At 34.6% G+C, this 13591-nt stretch overlaps 2 pseudogenes; both read left to right on the top strand.

The window, feature by feature from the left end:
- On the top strand, window positions 3680–4364 carry LOC100422020 (UDP glucuronosyltransferase family 2 member B7 pseudogene; annotated as a pseudogene).
- UGT2B27P (UDP glucuronosyltransferase family 2 member B27, pseudogene) lies at window positions 5624–6359 on the top strand (annotated as a pseudogene).

Genomic DNA, 13591 nt, shown 5'->3' with positions numbered 1-13591 from the left:
GCACATCAGATGAGGCTGGTCTGATTTGAGACTCCTTGATCTTCTACCCTCAACTGGGGCCCCAGCCTTGCCATGCCTACTTACAGGGCAGCCAGAAACACACCATAGTTTCTGCAACAGAGGACCAGGCCTGACTGACAGAGAGTTCCAGTGACGCAGTCCCTACAACTGTGTACCAGTCTGCATGTTCCTTCCCATACTGCAGCTTCGACTGAGCCTCTCCCCTGAGAAACTCCTCACACCACTTTGCTGAGTGCATGTCTGCATGGGTGGATTTTGCTGTACTTGACCCACCAGCACACAGGAGTGCAGTGCATCCCTCCATGACCCCCCATCACATTCACTCAAATCACACTGATAGCCTTTGCAGCATTGCAAAGAGAGCTTTGATGGGCACAGAACCAGAAATCCCTGTCAAGCCAGTGCCCACCTTTTTCTGATGCTGCATAGAGGACAGGGGATCCTTCCATACCCTGAGTGATCACTTCTGCTTGCAGGGCACAGAGAAGGCACCCAGACTTGTGCTGGCAATCACCCCACCCTAAACAAACACCACCTCCCATGTAACGTCACACAGTCTCCAGCAGGGGTCTTCCATTCCCCTTCCAACTGCTTTGCTTCTGCCACTGTTGTGAACACTCAGAAAGAGGCAGACACTCCTGCACTCACTAGCACTCTGCTGCACTTGTTGCACCTTCATCACCTTAGTGCAGTAGACTTAAAGCCTTGAAAAGCCAGAGAACAAAGCTGGGGCTCAATGCAAGTCCATCAGAGTTAAAGCATACGGTCCAGGAGTTGGGAACTGAACTCTGCCCCCTCTACAAACAATGTCAGTTGGCTGAATCCACCTTATATCACAAACAAACCTTCAAGGCAATCAAATAGAATAAAAGAAAAAAAAATCCAAAGGCCAGCAACCTCAAAAATTGAAGGCAGATAAGCCCACAAAAATAAGAGAGAATCAGTGCAAGAACAGTGAAAACTCAAAAAGACAGAGTGCATTTTTTCATCCAAATTACAGCATCATCTCTCCAGCAAGGGTTTAGAACTGGGCTGAGGCTAAGATGGCTGAAATGACAGAAGTAAAATTCAAAACAGGGATATAAACAAAGTTTACTGTGCTAAATGAGTATATTGTAACCTAATGCAAGAAAGCTAAAAATAATAATAAAACATTGCAGAAGCTAACAAAGTAGCCTGTAAAGAGAAAATGTAACTGACCTCATAGAGTTGAAAAGAACACCACAAGACTTTTATAATGCAATCACAAATAAAAATTGAAAAATAATAGCAAAATAAACCAACTGAAAAAAAAATTATGAGAGCTTTAAGACAGGCTTCATGAAATAAGACAGGCAGGCAATAATATAGAAAAAAGAATAAAAATGAATGAACAAAACCTCCAGGAAATATGAGATTATGTGAAAAGAATGAGTCTATGAGTATTTGGTGTATCTGAAACAGATGGAGACAATGAAATCAACCTGGAAAGTATATTTCAGGATATCATTCATGAGAACTTTTCCAATCTAGCTAGAGAGGCCAAATTTAGAAATGCAGAAAACCCCAGTGAGATAATCAATGAGAAGCTCATCCTCAAGACAAATAATTATCAGATTCTCCAAAGTCAAAATAAAAAAAAAACATGTAAAAGACAGCTAGAGAGAAAGGCCAAATTACCTACAATGGGAAGCTCATCAGACTAACAATGGACTTCTCAACTGAAATCCCGGAAGCCAGGAGAGATTGGTGGCCAATATTCAACATTCTTATAGAAAAGAAATTGCAATCTAGAATTTCATATCCAGCCTAATAAAACTTCATAAGCAAAATAAGAACCTTTTCAGACAAGCAACAGCTGAAGAAATTGGTTACCACCAGACCTGCCTTGCAAAAATTTCTGAAGGAAGCACTGAATATCGGGGGGGTGGGGGGTGGGGAAAGAGCGTTACCAGCCTTTACAAAAGCATACTGAAGTACACATACTAGTGACACTGTGAAGCAAGCACATAAACAAGTCTGCAAAATTGCTTGATAACATCATTATGACAGGATCAAGTCCACACATATCAATATTAACCTTAAATACACATGGGCTTAATGCCCCTATCAAAAGACACTGAAGGGCAAGCTGATTATAGAACCAAGAACCATTGATATGCTGTGTTCAAGAAACCCATCTCACCTGCAGTGACATATATAGGCTCAAAATAAACCAATGGAAAATAATCTAACAAGAAAATGAAAAAAAAAAAAAAGCAGCAGTTGCAATTCTAACTTCTTACTAGACAGACTTTAAACCAACAAAGATAGAAAAATGACATAGAAGGTTGCTACAGATGTATACGATTAAGATGATGAAAAGGAGGCAGAACTAGTTTGCAGCTTCTACTCGAATGGATAGAGCAGTGTGTTGGGACTCATGTCATGAACTGTTTCTCCAAGGATTACAGCAGGAACACACCAGGAAAGCTGAGAAAATTCACAGACTCTCTGAAGGAACTGGATCACCACTGCAGGCTCCCTGAGATGCTGAAAAACTGAGTCTGCTTGCTTTCTAGGTGAGGAGGCTTGTGGTTAGCCCTTCAGAGTTGGTCCAAATTGAAATGAGGAGAATGGGCCTTTAGAGTCCTACACGTGACCAGGCATTGGATATGGGCTGTGTTGGAAAAGTCACTACATGCTAGATAGCTTTCAGCAGAGATGTACTGAGAGAGAGCTTATAGGTGAGGTATGTCAGTGTTTAATCACTTCATCAGCTGGAAAGTAATTTCTATATTACCAAAAGGGAAATCTGGGTGACACATAATGCATGCACTCAAGGACATTAAAAATATTGAGCAATATTGCCACTCTGCTGGCAATATTTGCTCACAAACTGTGTTCAAAAATCCTTTTAAGAAAGATTTACTTCATTTCAGGTTAACAGATTATTAATAGAATAAAAACAAATTTCTCTATTTTGTGACATGCATCTTTTCCTTCCTAATTCTACTTTGATGTAAATTTCTGGTGAGACTTTTTAAAGTAGAACTTACCTGAATTACAAGGCAATCTGTGAAACAAGTTCAGTAGTAGGCGTTTAGAAGATAAATACTTTCTAAGACTGAGAAACTAAGCAATGTTGCAAATATTCAGAAAAGGAAAATATTGTGATTTAGACAAAATATTTTCAAATGAAGCAAAGTAACTGTAATTGTACTTAAAACATATCTGTTTGGATAAAAATAAAAGGAATTTCTACTGTCAGAAAAACAATGTCAAGGAACATGAAATGAAGCTAATATAATAAGTGTGAAACTATATAGAGAAAATGAAGATGGTCTATTTGAGAATGTTTAGATAAATAAGAATAGATCACATCACTGCCTCATTGTTGACAGAATGATGCTTTCTTATACTAGAAACTCTTTATATACAACTAAATTATCTCTTGTTCTGGAGACAGCCACATTTACAATAAGACTGAAATTTATTATTCACACATACAAACACAAAATCATTCATCCTTTTCTTTATTCTCTTGCTTTCCAAAACCTCTATTGTCAACACTTAAATCATTATGACATTGATTGACATTGATATGTACCAAGTTAGGGAAAGTTATAAAGAAAGATAGCATTTTAACAGTTGTCTAAGAAATGGGCTTTTTTGTTTCTTATGCTGACCGTTGTATTCCAGCTCTGAGTCCCATGAGAATGTGCTGGTGTGGCCAGTGAAATACAGTCTTTATATCAATTTAATAATGATACTTGATGAACTTGCTCAGAAACACCATGAGGTAACTGTGCTTGTCACCTTCAGCTTCCATCCTCATTGATTCCAACAATTTGCTGTTAAATTTGAGGTTTATCCCACATCTTTTACTGAGAATGAACTTGATTTCATTTTTATGAAATTGATCAAGATGTGGACATACAAGTTCCCAAAGAGTACATTGTTGGCATATGATTCAAAGATGCAAAAAACACATATTATGAATGTTCTGATACTGTTCAAAAGCTCTGTGAGTATGCTGTTTTGAACAAGAAACTTACAAGGAACAACAAGATTCCAGAATTTATGTCATTCTTGCAGATGTCATTTCTCATTAGTGAGCTGCTATCTGAACAGCTTAATCTGTTAAACATTTCTTATACATTTGGTCTACTATCATCCATTTACAACTGGCAGTATGTACCAAGAACTCTGTGGAAGACTTTCATTACCTCCTTCTGATGTAACTGTTGTCATATCAGAACTTAGTACCAAAATACATTTATAGAAAGGTGAAAAATCTTTTCCATTTTCTTCATTTTGACTTTGCATTTGAGACTTTTAACAAAAAGAAGTGGAATCAGTTTTACAGTGAAGTATTAGGTAAGTTAGTGTTTAATTTATTCACTTTTCCTCCAATATGTGGAAGGAAACTTTCCTTTCTTTGTGTCTGTTAGAGTGTGTTTATGAATTAAAATAAAAAATAACCTTTTTTGTTATTTGAAAGACAAGGTTTGGCAAGTTGGTGGAGACACTGAAACCCTCAAACATTGTTGGTTGAGAATAGAAAATTATTCACCCACTGTGAAAAAGTCCAGCAATTCCTCAAAAGGTTACACATATATTTACCACACAATTCAATAATTGCCTTTCTAGACATATACCCAAGAAAAATAAAAACATGCCCAAAGAAAGCATGTACATCAATGTTAATCAATGCTATTCATAACGGCCAAAAGTGGAAGAAAATCAATGTCCATCCACTGATAAATGAATAAATAAATTGTGTTTATAAGTAGCATCTGATACTATTTGGCAATAAAAATATCAACGCTATGCATAATGGCCAAAAGTGCAAGAAAATCAATGTCCATCCACTGATGAATGAATAAATAATTTGTGGTTATAAGTAGCATCTGATACTATTTGGAAATAAAAATGAAATCCTTATATACACTATTCTATGGATGGTCCTTTAAAAACATTAAACTAAATAGAAGAAGCCAGCCACAAAAGACCACATATTATATAGTTTCATTTATTTTTAAAAAGATCCTGAATAAGCATATTTGTAGAGGCAGAAATTAGATTATTGGTTGCCCAGTGCAGGGTGGATGCAGAAATTCAGGTGGGGAGATGATATTTAATATACAGGACTTTTTTTAGATAAAACTGATTGTTATGTTGGATGCACAAGTCTGTGAACTTACTTGGAAATATTTAATTTTATATAATAATTGATGAATCATATGGTAAGTGAATTATACTTCAACAAAGTTTTACAAGATATTCCTTGAACCACGATATTCAAAAATTCTATTTGCATTGTATAATTACTTCATCTCTTATTCTGTGTCAAGGGGCCTGCAGGACTCTCTCACTTGCCACTGTTCTTGACACTATTACAAAATACATTATATAAAACAGGATACTTGCAAGGTCATTAAACTTAGGTGGATGACAGCAAATATAAACATAAAAGAAACATCAAACATTCTTGAGTAAATATGAAGTAATCGAACTTTGTCTCCTTGCCATCCATGTACTCAGGATGCTCATATAATGTATTTACTTTGAATTGAAGGAGTTATGTTTTAACTTGATTGATTTTTCTCTGTATATAAGTATGAGAAAGAAACAGTGACTGGAAAAGAATTATCACATTGCACCAGGATGGCTCTGAAAGGAACTCAAACTTCAGTTCTTCTGCTGATACAACTCAGTTGTTACTTTAGCTCTGGGAGTTGTGGAAAGGTGCTGGTGTGGGCCGCAGAGTACAGCCCTTGGATGAATATGAAGACAATCCTGAAAGAACTTGTTCAGAGAGGTCATGAGGTGACTGTACTGGCATCTTCAGCTTCCATTCTTTTTGATCCCAATGACTCATCCACTCTTAAACTCGAAGTTTATCCTACATCTTTAACTAAAACTGAGTTGGAGAATATCACGATGCAACATTCCAAAAGATACATTTTGGTTATATTTTTCACAAGAACAAGAAATCATGTGGGCATATAATAACATAATTAGAAACTTCTGTAAAGATGTAGTTTCAAATAAGAAACTTATGAAAAAACTACAAGAGTCAAGATTTGACATCGTTTTTGCAGATGCTTATTTACCCTGTGGTGAGCTGCTGGCTGCGCTATTTAACATACCCTTTGTGTACAGTCACAGCTTCACTCCTGGCTACTCATTTGAAAGGCACAGTGGAGGATTTATTTTCCCTCCTTCCTACGTACCTGTTGTTATGTCAAAATTAAGTGATCAAATGACTTTCATGGAGAGGGTAAAAAATGTGCTCTATGTGCTTTATTTTGACTTTTGGTACCAAATATTTGATATGAAGAAGTGGGATCACTTTTACAGTGAAGTTTTAGGTAAGAATTTTTTCAATCAGTAACATGAAGCTCTAACTTCTTTGTGTCTTTGAAGCAGAACTTGTACAAAGCCATAAAGTCAAGGAAGTGGAGTTTTTGGTAAGTGAATTTATGAAATGAAAATACAAGATGGTCTATCAATCTCACAAATATTATAGAAAAGCTTAAATTATAGGGTCAGTGAAAATGCTGTGACCATCACTCATACACAACACCCCAGGAAATCATATACCTATATATTAGTACACCTAAGACTTTAAGCAATTACACATCTGTTTTATCATAGAATGTTTCAGACCTTAAAAACAGCAAGATCCATCAAGTAACATCTAACCAAATGCATAGATTTAGAATGAGTAATTACACATCTTTCTACAACTATCTATATAACTGCAAAAAATTTTCCTTGTAAACCTCAGTTGTCTTATTTAGAAATTAAAAGATGTTCCCATGTTATCAGGAGGTTGTCTTCACAGTAGAGAGAGATAATGTCTATATCTCAGATGCAAAAATCAATGAGGGTAATTTGAAGTTTCAAATGTTTCTATACTCCTTCACTAAAGAATTGGAAATCATTTATTTAAAGTCCAATCATCTCGTTGAAGTGTGAAAGTTGTCTTATCTATATAGTTTATTTGAAACTGTGTCTCTTTATTTAAAAATATGAGACAGATTAAGGTTGAGTACAGATTTGTTTCAATAATTTCTCAAAAATTTCTAGCTATAATTTATAAATATCTTTACTTAATATTATTAAGAAGTTAGCTTGAATCCAAATGAGTAGTTGGTACAATGATTTCAGCCATACTCAAAATAGTCCACGGTTAACTTGAAGAACCAAAGATAAAAGGATTAGCTTAATGATTTGTGTAAACTAGACTATTAGTTAGAAAATTTTTTTATGGTTACAGTAGAATTAATTGATTATGGAGCTCAAAGATTTTTTTAAATATCTAGAGGCTACTATTAAAGTTTTAAAGAGAAAATAAATTGATGTTTAATTCTCTATGACTTATTTTAATAATTGTGAGTATACTGACATGACATTAGAGATGTAGCTTAACCTCACAATTCTCCCACCACTTTGCCTTTCTTATAAATAAACATGGGCAAAATATAGAATACATAAAAAATAAATTATTCCTATATGTATATATTTTTCAAAGCATACAAACTTTACCTACATTTTTGCCTACATTATTCTAACTCCTTTCAGAAAATTACATAAAGTAATTATCTTATGTCATCCACTTTTTCTTTTCTTTATTCATATCAGGAAGACCCACTACCTTATCTGAGACAATGGGAAAAGCTGACATATGGCTTATGCGAAACTCCTGGAATTTTAAATTTCCTCATCCATTCTTACCAAACGTTGATTTTGTTGGAGGACTCCACTGCAAACCTGCCAAACCCCTACCTAAGGTAAACATACTTTCGTTGGTTTTATTTTGTTGGCTTCAAAGTTTCAGTAGAAATGACTCTATAGCCTTCATTCAGAGTGTTTGGTTTACATTGAAAAAAGATGGGAAGTAGGTGGGGTAAAGCAGATACCAATTAGAAACTCATGTACATGTTGATACCATCATAAGCATGTGAGTTTTATGCATATTACAAATAGGAATACTAAGGAAACTTTGAAAATAGGGTTGGTTAAATTAAAGTCTTGATTATGCAACATCTAAGAAGGCATTGGTCATTCATTCAAAGAATATTTATAAAGAGATTAGCACAAAACACAGGTAAGTGCAGAATTTTCAGAGAAAAAAAATAGACACAGTTTTCTGTCCCTACATACCTTACATTCTACTTTGAAATATAGAATATAAGTAAGTAATGAAAAGTATATAAAAATTATTTTCTCAAGGAAAAACCCAATGCTAAGAAAGCATCAGTGGAGATAATAGAAAGTATCCTGGAGTCACTGATGAGTACGATGAGAGCTGAACAATAAGCAGGAATAGGGAAAAGAATGACGGGGAGAGGCAGACAAAAAGGGAAAGCAGATAAAGTGGTCAGGACAGTTCTCAAGTCCTCAGGTTTAGTTTGCAGGGAATGATTAAGAATCAGACAATGCTAAGAGGTAAATTAGAGCCAGATACGTATTAGGAGTTGAAATATTTATTAAGAACATTGAAAAAGTCCAAAAAAAGAGTTAAGAAATAAGGATATATGAAATGATTCTCTTTTTAAGAAAAGGCTCCAAGATATTCAATGGATTAAATTGCAGAAGGGCCACACTGTAAAGACCCAAACATTCAGGAAATTTTCCATGAATTCAGGTAGCAGATGATGGAAAAGCGGACTAGATTGTTGATAGAAATAATTATGCCCACATTTACACAAATAGTGCCAACTTCATATTGTGTTGTGTGGAAAAAATATTAACACAGACAAAACACTTAAAATGTCTCTGGCACATAGTCAGTGACTCAGAAATGTTGTTAATTTTGCAATTATGATTATTTTGTGATTATTACTAATACTACTAACTACTAAACATGTGAAAGTCACTTGAGATATCATTCCTCATTTAAGAGAACCAGATTATTCAGCACATCAAGGTTATATTCTCTTGCAAAGTCATAGATGACAGATACCCTGTGGACTTGATTAATAGTAGACATACCAGTTGTGACAGTAAGATAAGCTAGTTGAAATTCTAAAATTCTTCCATAAGTAATAGGATCTTCACCAGCATTCCAGCTTAAAACACTTCCTCAACAATATAAATGTATGCCTCAAATATGTGCAAACACAGGGTTCACGTGATTTTAATAAAGCATTTAAATCATTCTGCATTGAGATCCCAGAATTTCACATTTTAGAGCATAAACATACCCTATTAGAGCAGATGATTTCTGCCTTATGACAGGCAACTCAGTAAGGCTTCCTGGGGGAACTCGTCTTGACATCATAGGTGACTGACAGAGATGCACAGAGATAATGAACAATGCATGTATAATAAAGACCAAATAATTTCTACCACTTGTGTCTGAATAGTGCCCTTAGTTTCAATATGAAAAAAAAATTCCGTCAGCGTATAAGATTATATTCTTTTTGAAGGAATAGAAGAACCTCATATATTTTAAATTAACATCACATTTTAAGACATATGTACAAAGAAGGCTTCTTCAATGCATTATTATGCAATCTCTTAAAAGATCATTTTTGCTTGCATAAAACTGAGATTTTATTCCATTGTTAAAACTCAGTATCTATGTTTAATGCAAATTGTATGGGCTTTATATAGTCAGTTTCTCAAGAGTCAAACGATGAGGTAAGACTAATGAAAAATATATACCACTCTACCCTACTCTTGAAAGATTTCCCCACTCACACTAAGGGAAACTGATAGTGCCAGTAGAAGGAGGAAGAGAGTAGCATGTGTAGAAGGACAAGAAAAAAAGGTTGACTGGTAGTACATTAGTGGTAATTACTAATACTAGCTCTTGTTATTAACTTGCAGAAAGCTTTGAATGCAAGTCAATGGTTGTGAAACCAGTTCTTTAATTGTTTATTATGTAAAATATTTGCTAACCCAGGTTGCTTTCTTTTCAATTATATATTAAATTCTCAGATAATTTCTATATATTTTAAGAGAATAAGACCCTTGATGAAATGTATCAGGTGTTTTAAAAATACATATTGTTATTAATTTTATAATATAGTCATGTGAAATTAAAAAATTAATCAAGATGTACCTATGAAACATTATGGAAAATATTCACAAAATTAACATTGGAAGTAATCCAACATCTTATATGAAATAATGATTAAAAACTTATGTGCCTATGATAGCACTAAAATAATTTTATCAATGAAATGTTCAATTACGCTGTCAGCCATAATACAAATACAGTGAATTAGAAAATGATAAATATAACAAGATGGTAAGTTTTTGCAGGAGAAAATGTATATACAATAAGATTAAAATTTTCTAAATAAGTGTCACATCTGTACATTGACCTATATAAATAGGACAAAATCCATAATAAAATAATACATATTTTCTATAAATAATATCTCTAGATAGAAATTTTAGAAAAAACTATTTTAAAAAATCTTTTCATACTTTTATAAAATTTATTACATTAATTTTGTATTATTTTTATAATATTATCACAAAAGGAGAAACAACCAGTCAATATCAGTGAGGAATCTCTACACAGAGGTTAGATTCCTTCAACACTGCACAGAAAAATAAGGCTCTGGCATCAAGCTAGTGAGGTGAAACACTGAACACGAGTTACATTAAATGTGGCTACAGGTAACTGCAATCACACACAATACCTAGATGCCCCAAGTATTATGTGGAATAGTACAGGGACTATCATGTTAACTTAAGATTAAAAATCATATTTTAGAAAAAGCTCTATAATATGTGGTGCACAGTTAATATTTAGACACTTTTTTCTTTGTTTTGTTAAAAACCATTTGGAAAAGTTTTACCCCAATGATTAAATCTGAAAGTATTTAAATTTATATATTGGTATACATTGGGGAACTCAAGTCAGAGTAATTCTCAATCAGTTGCAGCCAAGCACATCTTCACCAGGAGTGTAATGTGGTGTGCGTGAGCTACTCAAAAGAGAGACAAGATCCCCCTGCAGAAAGGCCTGGTGGCCTCTTCTATTCTGGTGCCAGTGCTGCCTCTGAGACACAACAAAGTGATGATGAGAGTTCCTCACATGCAGTTAGAAATAGCACATCAATTTAACAGTGTGATTTCAGGGCAATAGGTGTTCCACCTGAACAATAACCTGAAAAATACAGTTATTCAACTACTAACTACAAACTGTACAATTCTGTATTATAAATGAGACTCTAAGGACTGATTCATAAAAATTCCAGATCACAATACTAGACTCCAGAATGTCAGTGATTCTTAACCACCAACTTTTATTTTTTATTTCATTTTTTGAAAAACTACCGGAAAACTGACAAATTTTAAGTGAAGCATAAAGCATTGCAGAGTAATGTAAATGTAGATATAAAATTATCCCAACTGTAAGTAGCTTTTCCTCAGTGCTCATAGTTAGGGAAGTAAACCACTAATGGCTTCAAACTAAAAGAATTCTACAGAAAACCTGCCTGAAATAAACACAAGTGATTTAGTAGAACAAAAATATAGAATTAAACCCTAGTGGTGCCACTTTTCCAAGAACTTATATTAGTAATTATAGTATTATAAGTGAAGGGTCTGGGTATATTTTTTAACATTATCTCCCTGACTACAATGTAATAGTTCCATTTATTTTCTCCATTACACACATACAGACACATACCTACATACACACACATATTTACACAAATATCCTTAACAGAGGCCAACTATCTCATACATCTTCTTGCAAAGAAACAGTGATTGAGTCAGTTAAAAAATATTATTTACTCCAATAATTCCTCAAAATACTGGATTTTCTCTCTTTGATATTTTGTACCAATTCTTTCAGTAGTGCCTGCTGTGGTGATACTCTTTTGTGATGAAACATTTTTTTTTCCACAGCAAATGGAGGAGTTTGTACAGAGCTCTGGAGAATATGGTGCTGTGGTGTTTTCTCTGGGGTCAATGGTCAGTAACATGACAGCAGAAAGGGCCAATGTAATTGCAACAGCCCTTGCCAAGATCCCACAAAAGGTAAGATAAAGTGCCTTACTGGTGTGGAAAACTACTGAAAGAGGCTGTTAAAGTTTGTGATCTACATAGAAAGAATATTAAAGAGTAGATTGAACTCTTTATAGGCGAATACAGCCTTAAATATGCTTGTATAGCATCCACTGACAGAAGTAATAGTTGTGCCTCAGACTTAGTGATTACATGTGGCCCTGGGGTAGTTACTACCCTTGGTATGCATGAGTGATTCCTATTAGCATCAGTGGGAACTCAGTACTCCATATGTATCCACAAAAGGGAGCTTGAGACCCACAGTTATTTTTAATTTCTGATATTAACAGTCATACCTACTGCTGAATTTAACTCAATATATTTCAGTTAAGTGAAAATGGTGCTTAATGTAGTCTTTAGAATGACTTTCAGGTATTTTCAACTAAAAATATATATCCACAACTGCATCCTTGTAGAAATACAAGTAAGATTTATGATAATTTTCTTCAAAAGAGTTTTCCTAATCTCAGCAGTATCCAATGGGTGAAGAACACTTGACTAACACTTGGGCCACCTCTATTACTTGTACTCTGGAAGCCCTTGGTGAATGTTTACAATTAAGGAATGTAGTATTTTTGTTTGTACTTTAAGTCAAATGCTTATATGAAATACGTGGCAACAAATAGAGAAGACTGGCTCTGGTGGTCATTATGCAGTATATACTCTATTTAAGGATCTGTGGTAGTATACATGATCGAATGTCATTAATATAGGAATAATAACTGGCACGTGTGGAGAGTAGGGGAGTAAAAAGAATGAATTCTAATCCTGTGATTAAAAGTGTCAACTATAGGCTGGGCACGGTGGTTTGCACCTGTAATCCCAGCACTTTGGGAGGCCAAGGCAGGCGGATCACGAGGTCAGGAGGTCGAGATCACCCTGAACGATATGGTGAAACCCCATCTCTACTAAAGATACAAAAAATTAGGCAGGAGTGGTGGTGTGTGCCTGTAACCCCAGCTATTCAGGAGACTGAGGCAGGAGAATCGCTTGAACCGAGGAGGTGGAGGTTGCAATGAGGCAAGATCGCACCACTGCACTCCAGCCTGGGCTACAGGGCCAGACTCTGCCTCAAAAAAAGTAAACTAGTAAACTATAGACTCTACTGTAGTATATTTCAGGACTTAGAAGTTTTACTTTTATAAACATGGTGCCTGGAAGATGTCACTAATGTATTTTACTTCAGCATAGGGAACAAACTTTTTAAGTATATTAATAAATATTCCTGTATGGTAAGTTTTAAACAATTTTTTAAAATAAACTTTATGAATATGACAAATAAGAAAGTTCAGGCCTAAAAATTTAGCTTTTGGGAAAGAACTAATTATCTCAGATATTAGTTCAAAATCAAAAATATACATGGACGATGCTATAATAATAGAGGCTGTTTTTCATTTATAATAAATTTGGCATTAATAATATGACCAGGAATAAATTTATTTAAGAAATGTAGGTGAAGTATCGATATTATCATGTTATTGGGATCAGGTAAGAGTTATCACCAAATTCTGCCCCTGTCATTTGACCCTTTTGTTTAAGAATTCCTGATGGCACTGCACTGTACACA

Source organism: Homo sapiens, chromosome 4 (genome assembly GCF_000001405.40).
Source record: "Homo sapiens chromosome 4, GRCh38.p14 Primary Assembly".
Taxonomy (NCBI): domain Eukaryota; kingdom Metazoa; phylum Chordata; class Mammalia; order Primates; family Hominidae; genus Homo; species Homo sapiens.
Note: the sequence above shows the minus strand (reverse complement) of the source record. Positions and strands in the feature narration are given on the sequence as shown.